The 23,004-nt window shown below is 41.4% G+C and overlaps 2 protein-coding genes, 1 long non-coding RNA gene and 1 pseudogene across 30 annotated transcripts in view, besides 2 other annotated features; 3 read left to right on the top strand and 1 right to left on the bottom strand.

The window, feature by feature from the left end:
* The window catches only part of CADPS2 (calcium dependent secretion activator 2), a 568,050-nt gene that overhangs the window by 186,598 nt on the left and 358,448 nt on the right, over nt 1-23,004 (top strand). The window lies entirely within an intron of this gene.
* Nucleotides 746-2,128, top strand: RNF133 (ring finger protein 133). The gene has a single exon (NM_139175.2). The coding sequence runs from the start codon at nt 945-947 to the stop codon at nt 2,073-2,075; it is 1,131 nt and encodes a 376-aa protein (NP_631914.1). The 5' UTR covers nt 746-944; the 3' UTR covers nt 2,076-2,128.
* Nucleotides 6,119-16,767, top strand: LOC124901739 (uncharacterized). Its single transcript, XR_007060506.1, has 2 exons — nt 6,119-14,676; nt 16,540-16,767. It is a non-coding gene; the product is annotated as an uncharacterized LOC124901739 (long non-coding RNA).
* Nucleotides 6,977-7,476: an enhancer, noted in NCBI's record as "H3K27ac hESC enhancer chr7:122332441-122332940 (GRCh37/hg19 assembly coordinates)". NCBI's record gives its function as "activates a minimal SCP1, AML or CMV promoter by ChIP-STARR-seq in primed H9 embryonic stem cells {active_cell/tissue: H9 hESC(primed)}" and the evidence as "EXISTENCE:reporter gene assay evidence [ECO:0000049][PMID:30033119]".
* Nucleotides 18,137-18,570, bottom strand: RPS26P31 (ribosomal protein S26 pseudogene 31; annotated as a pseudogene).
* Nucleotides 20,126-20,682: an enhancer, noted in NCBI's record as "OCT4-NANOG hESC enhancer chr7:122319235-122319791 (GRCh37/hg19 assembly coordinates)". NCBI's record gives its function as "activates a minimal SCP1, AML or CMV promoter by ChIP-STARR-seq in primed H9 embryonic stem cells {active_cell/tissue: H9 hESC(primed)}" and the evidence as "EXISTENCE:reporter gene assay evidence [ECO:0000049][PMID:30033119]".

Raw genomic sequence — 23,004 nt, 5'->3', positions numbered from 1 at the left:
TGTGCCAAACTAATATGACTATATTTAATCTTTCCCTTGACACCCTTTCTCCTCCTCTTTCAAAATATTGTTTGATTAATAACAGACATCAAAGTCTGCAGAGAAATTAGCTTCCCTAGATATCAGTCCTTTCTTTACTCCTGTCAGTCTTACTACATTTGTACAGTCAATGTAAGACAGAGAAAGTGAGGCAGAAGTAAACTGAGCAGGATCCCTTACTTTAAAACAGCAAAACCATAAAACAAAAGCCACAAACTTCTCAGAAAGCTTAAATTAAATAAATGCAATATAATGGTTTATGTGATGAATCAAAAATTAGCAGTGTGACTTTTACTTTTTGATGTAAAAATAATGTCACTAAGCTCACCACTTTTGCCTCACATCCGGTCACTGCACTAATTTTTAATTATCCTTTTTTTTAGCTTGCCATTTTGTTGGAAATATCTCCTTCACTTGCTGGGAAAATAAAACATTCTTACATGTGCTTTCAGGCTTTAAAGAGCACACATTGTATGAATTTTAGATTTAATTTTTAGTTTAATGTGCTATCTACTACCATTATATGTAGCTCAGTGATTATATCCATCTTATAACAACATAGAAATCACCCATAACAGCATTTAAGCCAATAAATTCACAGTATGCTCTAAGCTCTTATCTAATTGGCTGCTGGGTCTTGCATGTCATAATCACATCACACAATAGTAAGCAGTATCTAGAGTTAACAGTAGGGGATTTATTTTTCAATCTAAAGTTTTTCACCTCTCTCTAGTAAGACATCTGAAACTCATAAGCCATCTTTAAGAATTTCTTACAAAAACATGCTGGAAGACAGTGGATCTTGTTTGTATCCTGAAGATTTTTTTCTCTTCGTTATTTTAAATTAATTGTCAACAGATGTGCAACTGTTAGGTTGGTTCTTAAGTCACTCGGAGAAGAGAGAGATGCATCTACTCAAGGTTGGCACTTGGAGAAACAACACTGCCTCTTCCTGGCTTATGAAGTTCAGTGTTCTTTGGCTTGTTAGTCAGAACTGTTGCAGAGCAAGTGTTGTTTGGATGGCTTATATGAACATATCATTTCATGTTGGGAATCATGTGTTGTCAGAGTTGGGAGAGACTGGAGTCTTTGGAAGAAGCTCCACTTTGAAGAGAGTGGCAGGAGTTATAGTGCCACCAGAGGGAAAAATCCAAAATGCATGTAATCCCAATACCATTTTCAGCCGATCAAAGTACTCAGAGACCTGGCTTGCACTTATTGAACGGGGAGGTTGTACCTTCACACAGAAAATTAAAGTGGCAACTGAGAAGGGAGCCAGTGGAGTGATCATCTATAACGTTCCAGGTACTGGCAACCAGGTGTTCCCCATGTTTCATCAGGCATTTGAAGATGTCGTTGTGGTTATGATTGGTAACTTAAAAGGCACGGAAATTTTCCATTTAATTAAGAAGGGAGTTCTCATTACAGCCGTGGTTGAGGTGGGGAGAAAGCACATCATCTGGATGAATCACTATTTGGTCTCTTTTGTGATTGTCACAACTGCTACCTTAGCATATTTCATCTTTTATCACATTCATAGACTTTGTTTAGCAAGGATTCAGAACCGGAGATGGCAGCGATTAACAACAGATCTTCAGAACACATTTGGACAACTCCAACTTCGAGTAGTAAAAGAGGGGGATGAAGAAATAAATCCAAATGGGGATAGCTGCGTAATTTGCTTTGAACGCTATAAGCCTAATGACATAGTTCGTATTCTGACTTGTAAACATTTTTTCCACAAGAATTGCATTGACCCCTGGATTTTACCCCATGGGACATGCCCCATTTGCAAATGTGATATTCTTAAAGTTTTGGGGATTCAAGTGGTTGTTGAAAATGGAACAGAACCTTTGCAAGTTCTAATGTCAAATGAACTGCCTGAAACCTTATCACCTAGTGAAGAGGAGACAAATAATGAAGTTTCTCCTGCAGGAACCTCAGATAAAGTAATCCATGTGGAGGAGAACCCTACTTCTCAGAATAATGACATCCAGCCTCATTCAGTAGTGGAAGATGTTCATCCTTCACCTTGATGGCATGACTTTTGAGGAAGTGTATTAAACCTGTATGTGAAATCAGGTCCTAATACTGACAAGCAGTTTGTCTGTTTGAAGTGTGGTTTTTGTGTCCTTTTTTGTTACTTCAGTAATTTTATACATTCTTTGTCCAACCTCAAAGATAGCAAAAAAGTCCTAGCGGGATTTTTTTTGTGCAATTTTGGACCTTTGCTAAGTGTAATTTTTTGTCAATGTATGTTACTCCTGTGAGTGTACATATGTATATTTATATGTACACATTCATGTTAAAGCTAAGGACAAACTTATTTTCTTAAATATTTACTGTACATATATTGGGTTCTATTTTGGTAAGAAAATTACTGATATGTAATATGTTCTAATACAGAAAGTATCAATTAAGTTTGAAAACAATAAATTATCTTTTATGTGCTAGGAAGAGTAAAAATTATCTTTTGATAACATATTTATAGTATGTCTTAGTTGTGAGGTTATTGTGCTGTTTTTTTCTTTTGCATTCTTGGCATGAACATTTTACAAAATCTTATTATTCTTATTCTTGATAAATAGTTCTGTTCAAGCAGTTAGTACATTTTTTTTGTGATATGCATCTGTATAGTGAAATTTTAAAATAAAATACTAGCACTCTTTAAGTGAACAGCAACTATTTTAGTGTCCAGTGTTACTTACAATAATTGTTACATATTCATAATACATAGAACGACTTTGATACTTAGTCATGGCAAATTTACTTCCCATGTGTTTCTCCCCACTCCCCAATTTGTTTTCTTAAATAAAATGTTTAATCTATGCCAGACTATTCTTGAAATAAGTGATACAATATAGAAATTATTATTATTATGATATGGTCATGTTTCTTTTGTTCACTATATTCTCAGGGTCCAGCAGAGTTCCTGGCACTCGAGTATTTTTGAATGAATGAATAAGTGAATGATAAATATCTTTGTTGTAATGCAACTATTATGTGTTAATTTGAAAAACTTGACTGTTTTTCCCAATTATACAAAATAACAGAAAATTTTGAAGTTTTTCACTCTAAATTACTTTGAAAAAATATTAAATTATAATTTTAGCCCAGAATTTATTATTACAGTTCAGCATGCATAATTTTAATGAGCAGCTTTGAACTCTAAGGCTAACACTGGGATTTGAATTGCTGCGCAGCCTTGGAGGGTGACCTAGTGAAGAGGAATCTTGTGAGTTGCTCAGTGTTAACAATACTGCAATTCAGACACAGGTAGAAGGGCAGTAGTTAGCTATAACTGCTTCCATGACCATGGGGTCATGGAAGACTAAAGGAGGAGAGACACTAATCTAAGGCCAGGAAGAATCGGCAAAAACTGGGCAAATGACCAGGTGTGAGCCATGCCTTGCTTGGTACACAAAGGCTTTTTTACACACAACTTTAGAGACTTTTGTGTTAATCACAAGAGCTCTTCTTTGAAAGAACTGCATAGCACTGGACTACTGGAGGATTTAGCAGGAACACTAAGTGTTATTTTGAGCTTACCCTGGGAGAGTAAAGTCATTTCCTGAGGGACGAGGGACCACACTGAAGAGAGAGGACACTGAGGACCCCATGACAGCTGTCCCTAAAAGGATAAATTAGCTGCCCACCTAATCAGGATAAATTGTCATTCTTTGGCCACTGTTAATGTTTCTGCCACTAGAGGATAGCAGCGGATGGGGGTGGGGTGGCTAAAGTGATTTCTACCATTTGTCCAAGAAAATCACTAGAGCTATGACAATGAATGCATCTGTAGTGTTGGCAGTCCCTGCACCTAGAGTTCCAGGGTCATTGCAGCTCTGTGTACTCTTGTGTGGGGTACTTGTTCCATGACATCTGGTAGTTCAGGAATTTGTTTGCTATTCACACTGACAGTGCAATTGTGTTTTTCATTCTCCCTCCACATCCTTGTTCATTTTTCCTTTTCTTTTTTCTCCTCCTTTTCCTTTGTTCATCATTGTCAATCTAAGACCTGAGTTACTCCCATGCATAAGAAATTGGCATGTGCATACTTCTATGATATAACCTTTGTTAATGTGGACATTTAACATTTAACACAGTGTGCTTGTTTGATCTGAGAATTTTCTATGGATGTTCTTTAAAGGGTGGTTAGAATCTATATTTGGAGTGGGAGGGAAAGGGTCAAGTCAGTGAAAATGGGAACTGTCTGCTGAGTGGCTACCATGTGCCAGGTAGAGGACTAAGCACTTTACATAGCTGTTTCTTTTATGTCAGAACAAAACAGTTTTAATCTTAGTGTTTAGAATGTTGTAAACAGATCAATAAACCCCTTTTACTCTGGGTTTACTAAATAGAACTTGGAAATAGCACTACTATATCAAATTTATTCATTATAATAGATTTTCACTTATTCTGTGGGCTATATACCATTTTCTCTTGTACCTAGTGATGCAAACATATCTTGTCATAATGACATGGGACTAATAATGTGAATTACAGAAGGGAGTTTATGTTCCTTGTAAGAATTAAGCTTGCTTTTTTATTCACTCCTCAGATAAATTAGGTTTAATATTTTACTACAGTGAAAAATATTCTAACGCATTTCAACTCTTATCGGGTGGTGCTATAGGTGAAATGACTCACTCCATCTATACAGTACCTCTTGTTATAGGACACACTACATTGATAATATCCCTATCTCTTGCTATAGAATTATTATAATGCAACTGTCCTGCAGAGAATGTTAGTCAGCTATTTATTTGCACTAGTGTGAGCCTTTCAAAGGATTAGTGAGCCAGGGATCTGACTTTTCTGATGGGATTTAAACCCCTTCACCACATTTAACGGGTTTTGAAGCAGCACGTAGGTATCAACTGGGAGAAAGATGAGCATTTGGGAAGGCACTGAAGCAAGCAGAGAAATTTTTACATGCTGCTACTGTGAAGGAGTCTTTCTCATGCCAGTTCCATTCTCCCATTCCATCATTTACCATGAACACCTGTTTTTGTATTTTAAAAACAAATTTGGTTTTTTGGCTTTGTACTTACTGTATTTTTTAATATTTAGTTCTTAATGATGAAAAATAAAGATTATAAATTAATACACTTACCAGCACAGAAATATCTTTAAATACATACTTGGTTTTATAAGTGGGGGGAAGGGAGTGTACTTTAGAAAAACAGATGGTCTCTTTCCTACCAGTAAGTGTTATTCTACCACAATTTGTTACCTCCCCTTTTCATAGCCACACCACAGCTTCTAACCCCTCTCTCCACAATTATGGCAGCATCTTTATCAGACCTCCAAGTTACTGTGTCCCGTGATGATTTTTAGATGCTGCCATGCATATTTTTCATCACTGTTGATGACCAGGGTGACTCTGATTTCAAAACTCTTCTACACATGTCCAGTTTAGCAACACACTGTTGTTGCCACACATCATGTTCTGTCATCTTTGAAAACTTAACAACTCACAGCATCTTTTTCAGAATTCCCTCTGCATTTGCTTGACTGCTCATCTCCACTACTTCTTCAGACTTATTCTTGGTTCTCATTCCAAGCAGTTTCCCTTAATTGTTGTCCCTATCTTCCCAGTCCATCTCTTCTTTTCCAGCTTCAGCCTAGAAGCAATTGTAAGTCATTTTAGTTTTACCAAGTGCCACCAAATTCCTTGCCTCCTACACTTTCCTACAATATCATTTGCCTACCCTGAATCATTTCTACATCTGCTTTTAATACTTCTAAACAGTCAGCTATTACTCAAGTTGTAATATTTATTATTATCTGATGTCAACCAGATCTTTGCTTCTGTTGAAAAATCCTTCAGTAATCTCTTAACTCTTTTATTTTTTTGAGACAGAGCTCTTCCTCTGTCACCCAGGCTGGAGTGCAGTGGCACGATCTTGGCTTACTGCAAACTCCTCCTTCTAAGTTGAAGTGATTCTCCTTCCTCAGCCTCCCAAGTAGCTGATTACAGGTGTGCACCACCACGCCCAGCTAATTTATTTATTTATTTTTACTTTTAGTAGAGTTGGGGTTTTGCCATGTTGCCCAGGCTGGTCTTGAACTCCTGAGCTCAGGCAGTCTGCCCACCTCAGCCTCCCAAAGTGCTAGGTTTATAGGCACGAGCCACTACGCCCAGCCTCTTACTCCCTTTTATAGTCCCCATAGAGTAGTACTTCAAAACCTTGGCTGCACATCGGAATCACCTGGAGAGCTTTTCCAAGTCTCAGTGTTCAGGATGCATTCATGACATCTGGGCTGGGACCCAGGCATTGATAGTTTTTGAAGTTGCCCAGGGTATTCCAGTGTGCACACAAGACTGAGAACCACTGCCAGAGGACTGTTCCAAAGAACCTTTAATCAGGTCCCAAATTTCACCTTCTGTTTCCTTAAGTTTGACTTATTTTCACTTTACTGAAAGTATCTTGGTAGAAATCAAAATATCAAGGTAGAAAGTGTTAAATTTCTATTCCTCATAGAGAGGAATTGATAAAGGCTTGTGGCGATATGAAGGGCAGAATTTCAACTGGAGTGATAATTAGGGAACACTTAAAGAAGGAAATGATATTTGAAATGGAACTCTACTTTGTGGGAAGAAGGACATTCTAATGGAGAGAACAGTGTTAACAGTATTTTTATAAAGGAGCTTTGAGTGTCACATGGAATTTTGGTTAAGAAACTTGAAGACACAGTGTAAGGAACATGGCTGTGCTTTGGTCAAGGACAGGCTGAGGTAAACATCCAGAGTGACTCAGCAAGTTTAGAGTGCAGGCGTATAACTCCACCTGTTATCACAGCCATGTGGCCATAACATGGGAAGATTTATCATTTGGCTCTAAGCCACTATTGTCTGTAAAAGGTATAATTGCCCTGCTGACACTGTATAGGCACACTTGTGCCCAGAGAGAGAGAGTTAAGCTGCTGACCCTGAAGGCAATGGAGAGCAGGCTGTGCAGCCAGCTCAAGCAGCCAAGACAGAGAGAACAGTGCGTGAGAGCTGTGGATGGGAAAGCTGCTGAATAAAACTACATTTCACCTGCTTACGGCCCCGAGTGTTCTTTCAGCTATCTGTCCATCCACCCACTCCCCTCGGACCTCAGCAGGGGCTGGACCCTGGGCATGACGTTTGGTGTACTCATGAACCTGACAGTTGGCATAGTTGGCCAGATGAGGTGAGTGGGTCTTCAGTTCTGAGGGGTCTTGGGTCGGCTATGTGGCCGCAGCATGGGCTGTGGTACCCAGTGGCAGCGGTGCTGCCTGGGTGGGCCCCAGTGGAAACGTGGGAGGCAGTAGACAGGTCTCCCATGAGTGTGGAGAAGGTACTGAAGCACCAGGAACTGCACAGCACTAAGGAAAAGCATACCTTCGCTGGCAGAGTCACATGGGCGTTTGTAACTGTGCTGCAGGAATTGCATGCCCAGTCCCTGCAGGATGCAGCGCAGGGAGAAAGAACCTCTGTTGCAGGCTCGCCCAGTGATCCACCAGAAAATATAGCATGAGTAGCTGTTGGGCACCAAGGGTGAGCCTAGGGACCCTCCCCCCACCACCGTGGTGGAACACATTTTATATGGTGCCTGCACCCCCGCTATGTTGCGGGAGTCAAGCAAGTAATGTCGGCAGTCATGTACAGACTTAGTGCAAGTCATTCAGGAGAAGGACGTTGGTGTACAACCTGGTCCTGCCCGAGTATTCCAGTTCACAGATTGCCTGCTGCAGTCAGGTGGAAGTGTAAAGCCTTTTCTGTTTGATAAGAGACTGGCCGAGATGCCTGGCTTGGGTGGCACCAGACAACCAAAGGCCATATGCGGACTTGGCAATCCACTAGTCTCTGAACCCGGATAAATTTCCGGGCAGAGCTGTGTTTATTAATGGTTATGAAGACCAGTCAGTGAAAGTGGAACCTGTGTCTGCACCTTGGCGTTCGCCACTTGGCTGTCTGCTTGTCCACTGTGCACATCTCTCCCATGCCTGGAGACATTCTGGGGGTGGATGTTTTGCACAGCTTGACAGCTGTGCTGTCTGTCACGGACTTGCTGGACTGCTTGACAATAGAACTGGGATGGTGCCACTGTGTGGTGGACCTGACCAATGCATTCCTCTCAATCAACATTGCTCCAGAGAGCCAGGAACAGTCTGCCTTCATGGGAGGGTGACAATGGACTTTCATAGTGTCACTGCAGGACTATATGCATAGCCTCATCATATGTCATGATCTTGTTGATGACGTTATGCGAACCTCTGGTTCTCTTGCAGATTTAGAAGTGGCAATGCCCACCTTGCCTGGGGTTGCATGGTGAGGCTTACACAGCCAAGCAGGCTCTTCAGTAGGCACAAGACCTATGGGTAGTTGACTAGGGGTGCCCATTTAAACTGAATGTGCATGTGACCACAAATAGTGTTGGCTAGGGCCTATAGCAGTGCATGGAGACCTTGGAAGTGCCAACAGGCTTTTAGTCCTAGCTGTGGAAGGGAGCTGAGCTCCAGTGTTCATTAATACAGAAGCAGTTAGTAATAGCAGATGGGTGCATTCATGGGTAGTGACCCCCTGGACTGGGAAAGCAGTTAGTAACTACATATGCTGCCCATCAGGCTCATAAGAGTGTGGCAGAATGGGTTACAGTCGTCATATGGACGACTTACCTGATAGCAGGATGGGTGCATTCATGGGTAGTGACTCCCCGGATAAGGACGGTGCAGACATCCACTTTAGTGAAGTGAAGCACCTGCTTAGAGCAGCGGAGTATGCTGAGTACAAGTCCCTTAGCAGCAGAGTTACAAGAAGTCTTGGGACCTGTAGTCCTAATGCAAGATAAGGCCATGGGGCCGGAGGTACACCTAGAATCTGCACCTTCACTATAAGGAATGGTATCCCCCCATTCCTAATGGGGCATGGTACACAGGTCTAGTCGAGATACTTGTGCTGCCTGGACTGTTGTCACAGTCCGGCCATTCTACTGACACTATATGGTTTGATACCAAGTGTGGGCAAAGTAGCTAATGAGCTAAACTCAGAGCAATGTGGATGGTGATCACCAAGAAGGTGACACCTACAGTAATCTGCAGCTGTAGCTGGGCAGTTTATTGAGGCTTAACCTTGTTGTTAATTATGTGAAAGTTATAGAATTACCTAGTCACCAACCCACATAGGGCCAGGCCATGTGGCCGGATCCATGAGAGGAAGGATGACCTTCTCCAACCAGTTACGAGGATGAGAGATAATCTGTTATTACCTGCCCCAATACCCCTAAAAGTAGGGAGACAAAACCTGGTGTCAGCCATGGACCCTCCAAGCCCCTCATTGCAGATGGTTGGCGATTGTGGCCTCCTGTGGGGAAGGGTCTGCAGTATAACTTACATGTTACTCCTTGGGTATTTAATGTGTGACCTCCACAATTAGCCGTTCGTAGGGGAACGGCCAGGGAAGGAACCCTCCTCCGGGAACATATGTACTGTCTGTGTGGACTATCATAAACTTCCCTGTAACTTTGGCATGGGTGCAGGACCCAAGGGAACCACAGAAAGCTGATGAGGTGTAGCATCATCACCCAGGGCAGAAGCCCTTGGCAGCTGCATTGTTATCCAGGGATGAAAAATTGACTTGAATTTTGCCTGAGGGACGTGATTTACCCTGGTTAGTATCCGTGCTTGCTTTGTTGTTTCAGCTGTAAGTTGGCATGCTCCAGTAGCATTGTGGACTGGTTCCACACCTTACTGAGGTGACCAATGTCTCTAACTGTTGGATCGGCACTGTCCTTCCAGCAGCAGCTGCGGATGGCTTGCCCTGGCGTGTGCATCCAGCTTCTGTGCAGAACTGCACACTGTCCAGGCCTCGTGGACAGTGGGTGGGATGCAACACATCAAGCTTTGAATAGGAGGCGTCACAAAACCCATGGCAAGCCTGCCCCCTGGCTGACTCTAGCGTCCATGATGGATGGAGCTGTCTAATGGGAGAACACGTGGTGCCCCCATTGCGGACACCACCATGTATAGAGCAGCACTGGGGTAAAGTCACTGTGGGATGGTTGCCTGCTGAGGTTTGTGCAAACATAACACGATCACTACACCAAGGGTGTTGTGGAATAAGCGGCCTTACCAAGGCTGGGCCCCAGTGGACTTTGTACCCCCTGGGAGTTGATGGGTCTGTGAGGGCACAGGATGGCCATATCTGCCAGCCAATTGGACTGTACCTGAGGGTGGCCCCATGTGCCTGCCACTGTGCTTTCCACATTGCCTGGTCACCTACATGACTAGAGGGTGCTGCGTTTCCAGTTTTTGTGAGTGGGGTGGGCCCCCTTGTGGTTCTATCCCTTAGCAATAACTGTTCCTGGAGCAGGTGTCATTACTGTAGGAAATGCAAGTTACAGCCCTTGCAGAGCACACAGCTCGGGCCCTGAATTGCATCTGAGTTGCCCTCCTTTTGTTAACTGATAAGGTTAATCAGATCAGGAAGGTGGTGCTACAAAACCGGATGGCCTTAGACATAGCCACAGCTGCCCAAGGTGGCACTTGTGCCCTTGTAGGGACACAATGTTGAAAACTCATCCCTGACAACCACCAGAACATAATGGCAGCTTTACAAGGGGTGTCCCAGGAGGTTAAGGTGATTGAGCGCCTTGATGATGACCCCTGGAAGAGATGGTGGGCATCTCTGGGCTCTGGCCTACATTGGGCTCTAATAATCATGAGTAGCATAGCAGGAATATTAGTAGTATGTTGTTGCTCCTTATATTGTTGCTGTGGCCTATAGGTCCAAGGTGCAGCCCTATGTGCACCGGTCCTCACTAAAAGGACTCCATCAGCCTAGGGGGTGGAATGTAAGGCTTGTGTGCCAAGCCTATATATCAAACCTATGTACCCAAAACTTATGTATAAAGCCTGTGTGTATATATATCGAGCCTATGTACCAAAGCTTATGTATATAACCTGTGTATCCAAGGCCTATGTCTCCCTTGGCCGAGGGGGTGGAGTGTAAGGAACATGGCTGTGCTTTTGTCAAGGACAGGCTGAGTGACTCAGCGAGTTTAGAGCTCAGGTGTATAACTCCCCGTTACCACAACCATGTAGCCATAAAATGGGAAGGCTCATCATTTGGCTCTAAGCCACTATTGTTTGTAAAAGGTATCATTGCCCTGCTGACACTATATAGGGACTCTCGTGCCCAGAGAGAGAAAATTAAGCTGCTGACCCTGAAGGCAAGGGAGAGCCAGCAGCACAGCTGTGTGTGGGAGCTGCCAGCTCAAACAGCTGAGACAGAGCGGACACTCTAAGAGAGGTGCTGATGAGAGAGCTTCTGAATAAAGCCATATTTCATCTACCTATGTCTCCCTGAGTTTTCTTTCAGCTGTTTGCCACTCATCCACCCACTCCCTCCAGACCTCAGCATGGGCTGGAACCTGACCCTGAACCTAACACATGAAACTTAGAAGGCTGTTGCAATGATCCAGGAGTGATAAAGTGAAAATATAAATGAAGGCAGTGGCAAGTGAATTGGGTGGGTCGCCTACAAGATAATATGTTCTTTGATTTCACTTGCTGGTGTGAATTTTCTACTTCATTTTTCCATGACCAGGGTAACACTGATTTTAAAACCTCTCTACATCCTAACCTTTATCTTCAGTTCATCTCCAATTTACCAACACACCATGGATACAGAAGAGGTGGGTATGGGTCAGGGGGAGTAGAGGAAGAGTGAAGAGTTAAGAATGACTCCCTGCTTTCTGGCTTGGGCCGCTATGTTATAATAATGACATTCAGTGAGATGGAAAATGACAATGAGGTGAATTAAGTTTGAAGTAGAAGAGTACAGATTTTGAATATGTCATAGAACAGATTCTGGGTGATGTTCATGGCATAGCTGGAAATATAGGTCTATACTTAGACTAATTAAATGAGATAAATGTAAAAAATTAACAAAAGGCTTGATACATGTTAAGTACTAACTTGTGATTTATTAACAAAATAATTTAACCACCAATGACATTTATATTAGTGGTGATTTTACTATTATGTAAATTTCAGTGTTACTATTTTTGGCTCCCTGAATTTGTAGTATCCCTATGTACTATGTTATAAGATATTTTTGTCACCCAAGAATGCTTAGCAGGCTGAGTAAAGCTGGCAAGTGTGATAGGAATAGAGGGAGGGGTGGTAATAATCTTAGCTATAATACACAAGGTGTTGCTACATTCCCTTAATAGGTAGAATCTCATTTAATCCTTAACAGTAATGCTATGAGATAGGCATTATTGGTATCCTCATTCTTGAGATGAAGAAATGGAGACGCAGAGAGACTGAGTAACTTGCCCAAAGTTAAACAGCTGGTATGTGACACACAGAACCTATATTTGAACTTGTTCTGGTTCCACAGCTCATGGTCTTAACCACTACCCTGCAGTTAGCTTGAAACACTAGTTTTTAAGTAAAGGACAAAGCATTAGGATGAGTCCAGCTTTAAGGGCTTAAAGAAATGCACAGTGGAAGAAAAATCCCAGCTAAAGGCATTGGGAGTGCTAGCTGGAGGGTGGTTGAATGATACCTTACGTGATCTCAACATAATTAGGAAAGAAAAAGGAGTTGTGTGAGGGTGAAGATATGGCCAGGGTATATCTGATTTGAGTAAAAAGAAATATTGAGCTGTAGGAATGGATGTTTCCATTTAGGAAGTACTGATATTGGAGCTAGTAGCTCCCTTGTGTAAAAAGTATTTAGTTTGAAGGGTTTTGATGTAGGCTGCCTTTCTGCTGAAGTTCAAAAGGGGTAAAAAATTGTGTAATTATCCTAATAATTGATATCAATCCTTTTTAAAAGTTTAAGCTTAAAAAGCATAGTTAGGCCAGGTGTGGTGGCTCACCCCTGTAATCCCAGCACTGTGGGAAGCTGAGGCAGACAGATGACCCGAGGCCAGGAGTTTGAGACCAGCCTGGCCAACATGGTAAAACCCCGTCTCTACTAAAAATACAAAAGTTAGCCGGGCGTAGTGACACATTCCTGTAATACCAGCTACTCGGGAGCCTGAAGCATGAGAATTGCTTGAGCACGGGAGGCGGAGGTTGCAGTGAGCCGAGATTGTGCCACTGCACACCAGCCTGGCAGAATGAGACTCTGTCAGGGTGGAGAACAGTGCAGAGCATAGTTACTTTTCAAAAAGAACATGTGCCTTTTACATCAGACCACCTGCATTCACTTTCTGTCCCCAGGGAAAAGCATCTTCGAGCAGCCTCAGCATCACCTGGGAACTTGTTAGAAATGCAAATTCTTAAGCTCACTGCAGAGTTTACAGAAACTTGAGGAGGGGGCAGCAATCTGGTTCACCAAGTCCTCCAGCTGATTCTAATGCGTACTCGAGTTTAAGAACCTCACTTAGATCAGATAGTTCATTTTCAGCAATGATGCATCACAGCTGTAATAAAAATAGTATAATAGTGTAATTGAAAATCTCAGTAACTGCTATTACTACATTAATACAAGATACATTTAGGCATATTTCACATGTACAATAGGTTTCTGACTTCTGCATGACTGTGCAAAGAAATCCTTTCCTCTCCCAGTACTGGTTTCTCTATCCGCTACCACTATCACAACTGTCAAGGGAGTTGTGAGTAAACTAATAGATTTTAGATAATTTGCAATTTATAAATAAAAGAATAGAAAAAAACTGAAAAGTATGAACAGTTTTGGGCAGTCCACACTGGAAGAGAATAGTTAATTCCATTATATTCACTAAAGATCTGATATCAATATACTAAAAAAGTGGACCACAGGTGAAATTCAGAAGGGAGTCATGTAAATTTCTAGGTTCGGGTCCATAAAACCAGCTTCACAAATACTGGTGGGATACTTAGTTTAGCTTCCATAATAATGTAGGTGAAAATAAGTTCAGGGTAAGGCATTGGGAGTGTATGTAGGCCCTCCAAAGGTTTGTGGCATCTTCCTCTGCTTTAACAGCATTGCTTCTCTAACTGGAATGAATTACTGTCTTCCTCCTTGATTGTAAGATCTTACCCATATGGCAGGTTCATTGATTCATTCAACAAATATTGATTGCCCTGGAGATACAGTGGTGAACCATATAAAATGCCTGCCATCATGGAGCTTACTTGCTAGTGGGAAGAAAATACAATAAATGTCATGTGCTACGTAGTTATAAGTGCTGTGGAGAAAAATAGAAAACAGAATAGGGAACTACAAAAGACAGAGATGCAGCTTTAAATAGAAGAGACATCACCAAGAAGATAATGAGCTGAACAAAGACCTGAAAAGAATGAATGAAGGCCTTAATCTAGAACCTGTGCAGAAAAAGTGAAACTTGTGTTAAGGAGAGCCAGTAGGATAGTAAGTGGGTCTTGTCATCTGAGAAGTGTCAGGAACGTTTAACCTGCAAGACAGAAGACAGTGTTAGCTGCCATCAAACGCTTGAAGAATGGGCTTGGGAAGAATTTGATTTTCTTTGTTTTTGCAGGGATTAGCATGCAATAAGAAAATGACAGCTACAGGGAGAGCATTGCCACTTGGAAACAACTTTGCAGATGTTGTTCCTGCCTGTAGACAGGTTATTGCCTTCAGAGAGCCTAGTTTCTCTTCCTTAAAGGAGTTTGATATTGTTTGGATGTCACTTTAGTGGTGGTGATGGTGAGTGAATTCAAGCTTTAGAAGGGTGATTGGATTTATACCTTTGGGTCGCTCACAATCCTGGGAATCAGATTCTGGGATTAAAAAGCAATAACATTGCTATTCCACATGTAGTTGCCATCTGTTAAAAAAATAAACAACTACAAGGTATAAACTATAAAATCTATTCAACAAATATTTATTGAGAGCCACTGTATGCCAGGGAAATTTAGTTAAGTTTTGGGTTCATTTTGCTTTAATTTAACAGAATGTTTGTTTTTAAAATTGATTTACTTTCCAGACTTTTTTTTCCATTTTTACTTTGGAACTTCATTCCTCTGCAGCAGGCCCTTGGATTATCAAGAGTAAATAACGTGCTATCCTTAAGATTTATGTTTTATAAACCTAGGATTTGAGAGGGTAGCAACTCATTCTCTGGTGTCTTGGTAGTATTGTGGAACATGTAATGGTTTGGCTTTTAGAAATCTCTTTCCTCCCAACTTCCTTGTTAACATTGGCATATCACCCATCTTCTCAAGTGAAAGGTTTTTTTGAGGTATTTTATCAGCAGCAAAGGACTGGTATTTATTGATTTCTCATCCATTGTGGAATATTTTATAAAATATAAAATCATGTGTTTGACTTATTCTAAAATGCATAACAATAATTTGAATTGATGAAGGATTGGGTTGATACGTGAAAGAACAAATAGAATAAAATGTTAATTGTAGAATCTAGTAGGTGTATATATATGTGTGTATATATATATATGCTTACTACAAACTTCTTTAAACTTTTCTATATGTTTAAACATTTTTATAATAAAATATTGGGGGAAAATCATGCTTTTGGATGCTATGGCAATGTAATATCAGTTCAGAAGTTTCTAAAAAACTATGCTCTCTGTACAGTAAGTCCTCACAGTCCTCACTTAACATAGTTGATAGATTCTCAGAAACTGTGATTTTTAAGTGAAACGACATATAATGATATCAATTTAACCACAGGCTGATGGATATAAGTAAGAGTCAAGTTCCTACAGCCTATTTCTGGTCACAAAAATATCACCAAACTTCTAAACAAAAACCAAAACACTTCTAATATTTAGCATGGAAATAAATGTGAGCTCTCTATACATTTAATAAAGATAAATAAAAACAAGTAAGTAAGTAAGACAATTATCCACTTATTTTAGTTAAGGGTCACAGGTGGTCAGAACCTAGCAGCTCAGGGTACAAGGCAAGCACCTTGTAGAGGATGCCATCTCATCACAGGGCACGCTCACACACACCCCCACACTAACTCACACCAGGACAGTGTAGACACAGTGAACCTCATATACATGTCTTTGGGATGTGGGAGGAAACTGGAGTACCTGGAGGAAACCCATGTAGACTTGGGGAGAACATGCAAACTCCACACAGACAGCAGCCCCAACTGGGAATCTGTTTGTTTTTTTTTTCTTCATTAACATTATATCAAAGCAAGCTTATTAGAGGACCGCCCTTCTGTACTTGCTGAGGGACAGGAAACAGTCTGGGTACTGTCATTGGTCCACAGATAACATTTTAAGTAGCAGTGATTTTAAAATTTATTTCACTATGTCATGTAGTATTAAAAAAAATATGTTGAGAAAGTTATTCCACTTTGTAAGCACATATCAAAACATCACGTTGTACCCCATAATATATAAAATTGTTACGAAACAAAAAGTATTTTTAAAAGTGATATTGATACAGAACCACTGGGTTCCAAGCTAAACCCCCACCCTTAAGCCTGGAATGGTGGTTGTAAGAGAAAACAACTGACCCTGTTTTTCTTGGTTTTCCCACCCAAATGTTGCCTTTTTGGCCTGCCACACTTCTATCCTGTGCCCTTAAAAAGACTTCAGCTGGCAGAGCAACACATAAGCTGCTGAGCATCAGGGATACAAGTGGCTGAGGAGTAAGCTGAGAAGCAGCAACTGAGCATCAGAAACTACAGATAGATGTGGCTAACTTCAGACAGCGTGGCTTCAGGGAAAGATCACCTTCTTCCTGCACCATCCCCTTTCCAACTCTCATCCCGCCAAGAACCACTTCCATCACCAAATAAAATCATCCACATACACTACCCTTCAATCTGTTCATGTGACCTGATTCTTCCTGGACGCCAGACAAGAACCAAGAGGACAGGGGCTGGGAGCTGCTCCAGGGCCCACACAGAGCCTGCTCCCACAAGAGAGGAGCAACTGGCCGTTCCAGCAATCGTTTGTTCCAGTCTCTACAATTGCTTGCTTGCATGTTCTCTCTCGTGAGGAGTGGCCAGTGACAGGCTGAGTGAAACAGGCCACTGAGTTCCCACCCAAGAGGGGGATCAAGGTCAAGGGAATTATCCCATCTCTAGATTACCTGTATTCCACTGATGAGGAAACTGACCCAGAATGGTTCAGAGTCTCTTAGCTTGTGTCACACCTTGAACTCTCGGGTCTCCTCATGCCCTCTCAGTTTTGTTACATTATTTCCCAGCTGATGAGTGGAGAGTAGCACAGAAGTAAGGATGAGGTGAATTGAATTCTGTAATTGAAGTTGGAATACTGTAAAGCTGTAAGACAGCATGGGAACACATATTTTTTTTCAGATAGTAAACATATATTAAGGATTTATTCAACATTAGATATATTATGAGGCTTCAAAAGTAATACACTAAATTTTTAAGATTTATTTTCTGTATTATTACAGTGAGGGCAAAACAAGAAAAACATTTTCTTTATAGAATAGATGGAAAATAGCCCAAGAAACATTCAGACTTTTCTATCACACCATGAAACACATTGAATGAAGGTGGAAGAGATGGCTTAGGCTGAAAATATGGCGTGGAAAGCTGGTATCTTCTTTGACTTTGTGGCTACGTGTAGAAGCTTTTCTCTAGAAATTCTTATTTGCCATTCCGTTGCTCCCTTTTCCATGATGAACAACAAGATTTTTCTTCCACTTTAGGGTCTCAGTCTTTGTTGCACAGTGTCAAACAGATTGGAAGCCCAGGTAGGGTGCAGTGATCTTTGTGTTTATACAAGAGGCTTGGTAAATCTTCACTTTCAGTCTCATAAGTACAAGGTTAAGGAGTATTTGCTGTTGGCTTAGGGAAATTTAAACTAAGCATTTAGTTGGAAAATACCTAGGAAGAAAGACTCAAAGATCTGCTATTAGCTGATATTAGAAGAAAAAAGCTTTAGAACGACTTCATAATATTGATAAGATTATGGTAATACCATGTGTATGTATTATTTTCCAAACAAGCAAACAAAAAAAAAAGCTTTATGCTTTTCAAATCCCATTTGTATTCATTTGGGTCTAGACTCATCTCAGTTCTTAAAACAGGATGTAAGAAGGCATAGACAGTTCAAGGCTTTATATTTGGTCTAAGGGTTTTATTTTTATTTTTATTTATTTTTTTTTAGATGTTGTTTTTTTTCTTTCTTTTATTATTATTATTATTTTTTTACAATTTCCATTTTATTTTTCTCCAGAGAATAACCTGTCTTCAGTCTTTAAGAACTCAGCTCCTTACATGGGCTTTGGTGGGGGACGTGGGGCAGCACCCGCAGGTCTAAATCTGGGTGGGGGTGTTCGGTCCTTGCGGGCTTCACGAGATCGATTCCTGACTACTTTGCTGTGAATTGCACAACTCACACAGTAATGTAGCTTCACATACAGCTTGGGAAGCACATAGGCATCGAAGACGCTTGCTTCAGAAATGTCCCTGACTGCTACGGCCTCCACTATGTTTCGAATGACGAATTTCTTAATGGCCTTGTCCTTGGGCACGCATCGGGCACAGTTAGTACAGCGAACAGGTTGCACGTGGCCGCGGCCCTTTTTGGCACGACCATTGTTCCTTCTTTTCTTTGTCATCTTGGAGGCACGGACCGGAGAGCTCTTTCTTTTATTATTATACTTTAAGTTTTAGGGTACATGTGCACATTGTGCAGGTTCATTACATATGTATACATGTGCCATGCTGGTGCACTGCACCCACTAACTTGTCATCTAGCATTAGGTATATCTCCCAATGCTATCCCTCCCCCTCCCCCCACCCTACAACAGTCCCCAGAGTGTGATGTTCCCCTTCCTGTGTCCATGTGGTCTCATTGTTCAATTCCCACCTATGAGTGAGAATATGCGGTGTTTGGTTTTTTGTTCTTGCGATAGTTTACTGAGAATGATGATTTCCAATTTCATCCATGTCCCTACAAAGGACATGAACTCATCATTTTGTATGGCTGCATAGTATTCCATGGTGTATATGTGCCACATTTTCTTAATCCAGTCTATCATTGTTGGACATTTGGGTTGGTTCCAAGTCTTTGCTATTGTGAATAATGCCGCAATAAACATACGTGTGCCTGTGTCTTTATAGAAGCATGATTTATAGTCCTTTGGGTATATACCCAGTAATGGGATGGCTGGGTCAAATGGTATTTCTAGTTTTTTAGATGTTTTATTGTTTTTCTTTTTGAGACAGTCTCACTCTGTTGCCCAGGCTGGAGTGCAGTGGCATTATCCCGACCCACTGCAACCTCCACCTCTCAGACTCAAGTGATTCTCATGCCTCAGCTTCCTGAGTAGCTGGGATTACAGGCGTGCACCACCACACCTGGCTAATTTTTGTATTTTTAATAGAGACAGGCTTTTGCCATGTTGGCCAGGCTGGTCTCGAACTCCTGACCTCAGGTGATCCACCCACCTTGGTCTCCCAAAGTGCTGGGATTACAGGTATGAGCCACCATGCCTGGCCTGGTCTAAGGGCTTTAGATTTGATATGAGGGGTTTAGATTAATCATAAGGGATTTAGAAAAGTTGGAAGGATCTTTTGAAAGCAAGTGTCTCCTAGTTTATAGATAAGGGTCTAGAGGTATTTCTTAACAAAATTTATTTTTTAGATAAAACAGATTATTTGCTATTAGTTTTAAGCTGTGATTCTTCACATTTGATAGGTAAAGAAATGGGATTGTTTAAACGAGTGTTTTTCAAATCTTTGGAATTCATGGATTAGTAAATAAAAACAGAGGTCAGATATTGTACTTTTTTTGTGTGCCAAGAAAGGTAATTAACCATTGCAACAACAATAAAACTGCCTTTGCAAAGATTATGACAGAGAAATCTAACATAGCTGACTCTATCTTGCTTCTAGCCTCATAGGCTGGCTGTCTTTGTTCATTCCTGTACATAGGTCAAGCTAATCATGGCAAAGATTTAGTTTATAGTTTAACTTGGAAGCAAAGATGATAATAGTCCCTCTCTAAAACTAAACCCCTTCTTTCTCAGGGACTAAAAACCATCTTTGTAAAACTAATGAAAGGCCACAAGATTAGGATTGTGAGAGGGGCCTGAGTTCTGCTATTGGGGGAAATTCAGCCCCCGATATTTCAATGTGGGTCCTTTGCTATGTTCCCTCAGTGTTGGCCGGTCTGAGAAATAAAGGGAAAGAGTACAAAAGAGAGAAATTTTAAAGCTGGATGTCCAGGGGAGACATAATATGTCGGCAGGTTCCGTGATGCCCCCTGAGCCGTAAAACCAGCAAGTTTTTACCAGCAATTTTCAAAGGGGAGGGAGTATACGAATAGGGTGTGGGTCACAGAGATCACATGCTTTAAGGGCAACAAAAGATCACAAGGCAGAAGGTCAGGGTGAGATCACAAGGTTAGGGCGAGATCACAAGGTCAGGGTGAAACTAGAATCACTAATGAACGTCCACGTCCTGCTGTGCACACATTGTCATTGATAAACATCTTAACAGGATTCAAGAGCAGAGAACCGGTCTGACTAGAATTCGCCAGGCTGGAATTTCCTAATCCTAGCAAGCCTGGGGGTGCTGCAGGAGAGTAGGGCATGTTTCATTCCTATCTACATGTGCATGAGGCAGACACTCCCAGGGTGGCCATTTTAGAGCCCCCCCCCCCCAGGAATGCATTCTTTTCCCAGGGCTGTTAATTATTAATATTCCTTACTGGGGAAAGAATTCAGTGATATTTATCTTACCTGTTTTCGGTAATAAGAGAAATATGGCTCTGTCCTGCCCGGCCCACAGGCAGCCAGACTTTAAGGTTATCTCCCTTGTTCCCTGAAAATCACTGTTACCCTGTTCTTAAGGTGCCCAGATTTCATATTGTTCAAACGCACATGCTTTACGAACAATTTGTGCAGTTAACGCAGTCATTACAGGGTCCTGGGCAACATACATCCTCAACTTACGAAGATGACGGGATTAAGAGATAAAAGACAGGCATAGGAAATTATAAGAGTATTGATTGGGGAAGTGTTAAATGTCCATGAAATCTTCACAATTTATGTTCTGCCATGGTTTCAGCTGGTCCCTCCATTCGAGGTCCCTGACTTCCTGCAACATTCTGCTAAAATGTAGGCATAATTTCTGTAACCCCTTACTGTTCAGTAGTCCTATGGCCAGAGGTCACAAGATTTGTGACTTCCCTGAATTGCTCCTATAGATAACATCACTATGTAGAACCTAAGATCGGCCTTTTGAGGTATCTTTCACATTTTTGCATTTTTGACCACCAACTAAATCCACCCAGACCCACAGTAGTGGTGCAACCCATCCTATGGCCCCTACTCAGAGGCTAAGTGCAGGAGGACCATTTCCCACACACCTGTGATTTCACCTCTAAGCAGTCAACATTCCCCATTTCCTAAACCCTTGCCCACCAAATTATCCTTACAAAAAACGTAAACTCCAAGCCTTTGAGAGATTAATTTGAGTAATAACTCCCATCTTCTGTGTGGCCAGCCTTGCATTAATAAAATTCCTTCTCTATTGTTATAGCACAGTCTCAGTGAGTTGGTTTTGTCTGTGCAGCTGTGTGGGAAGAATCCATTGGATGAATACAGCAACAAAACCACACATTTACAGTTAATAACATTGTATTACAAAAAGTGACTTCTTGTACCTACAGTTTCAACTATTAGAATATTAAAATCAGCTTTATTAAAATGGACTTTGAAGTCCTTGTATTTTCTTTTTTCACTTTGAATTCATGAAAACTTCATCCCACACTGGTCAGCACAGCAGCCTTTAGATTCAATAACTTTCCAAAGTCCATTACCACAAGGACCTAATGATTTCCTTTAAAATTTGAGTGTCTAATGATACTAGACACTACAGAGATTTCAAAGATGCAGTTTGCAGTCTTAACAAGAGAGACATACAATGATGTGGTATAAGACAGGACAGCAGTGTTTTATACCTACACAGAGCATGGGAAAGTATTAAGATGGCTTAGAATAGAGAAATACCATCAAGCTGCGGAATGCTTGACAAACAGGTGAACAGGAGCATTCTCCTGCCTAATCCTTACCAATCCATTTACTCATTGGCCCTTCCAGCTCAGCCGAATGAGCCACAAATTGATAAATTGCTGAACTTGATTGCATGGTGGTGAAAAAGGGAGCTCTAGAGTGAGACTGGGCTTAAATCTTGACTCTTCCACACTCTGGCTGTGTGATCTTGGCCATGTCTCTTTACTTCTGTATGCTTTTTGGGTTTTTATTGTTGTTGTTGTTGTTGTTTACCTTTAAGATAAATACTAGCACCTTCTTTATGCAGTTGTGAGGGTTAATATACATGAAGTCCCTAAAATAAATTTTAGCTATTTGCAAAATACAGTTTTTATCATGTGACTCTCTGCCTTAAATATTGATGGCATTCCATGCTCCTGGGATAAAGACCAGAGCACTTTCCAGGCCTGACAAAGCCCACCCGTCCTCCTCAGGCACCTCCCATTCCACTGTACTCTCAGGCCCTTCACTGCAGCCCAGGGAGCTGCCTTAAGGCCCCCTTAGATAGGCTGTGTTCCCTCTACCCACTGTCTCCTGGCCCCTTGGTTCCTTTTGATTTGCAAATTCTTTGTCTTCAGATCTCTGCTCACCTCCTCAGGGAAGCCACCATGACCTCCTCAGCTAGATTCAAACTTTGTTACAAACTTATAGCACCAGAAATTCTCACTAGTATTTATCAAGCCACAGGCATATTGGTTTGTATAACCATTTGTTTGCCCCACTGTAAGCTCTAGGAAGGAAGCAAACCCTTGCTTATGACACCTGATCATATTGCCTGGCATTTTGGTTTGTCTTGGTAAACATTTATTGAACAAATGGTTAAGCTATGGGGGTGGGAATGTACGCAGAGTGTGGAGGGCTACACAAGTGTGTCCTTTTACTGGAACAGAAAATATGTTCTTGAAAGAAATGGAAGAGAAGGCTAGAAGGTAGGTTGAGGGAGACTTGGATGGATAAAAAGCCTGGCACAAAACAGTGCCAACAAAGAATCCATTGACTGGCTTTGGGCACACAA

The sequence above is a fragment of the Homo sapiens genome, chromosome 7 (genome assembly GCF_000001405.40).
Source record: "Homo sapiens chromosome 7, GRCh38.p14 Primary Assembly".
Taxonomy (NCBI): Eukaryota; Metazoa; Chordata; class Mammalia; order Primates; family Hominidae; genus Homo; species Homo sapiens.
Note: the sequence above shows the minus strand (reverse complement) of the source record. Positions and strands in the feature narration are given on the sequence as shown.

Bases quoted from the DNA above. Each gene is read 5' to 3' on its own strand.
- RNF133 (NM_139175.2), top strand. From the start codon at position 945: ATGCATCTACTCAAGGTTGGCACTTGGAGAAACAACACTGCCTCTTCC.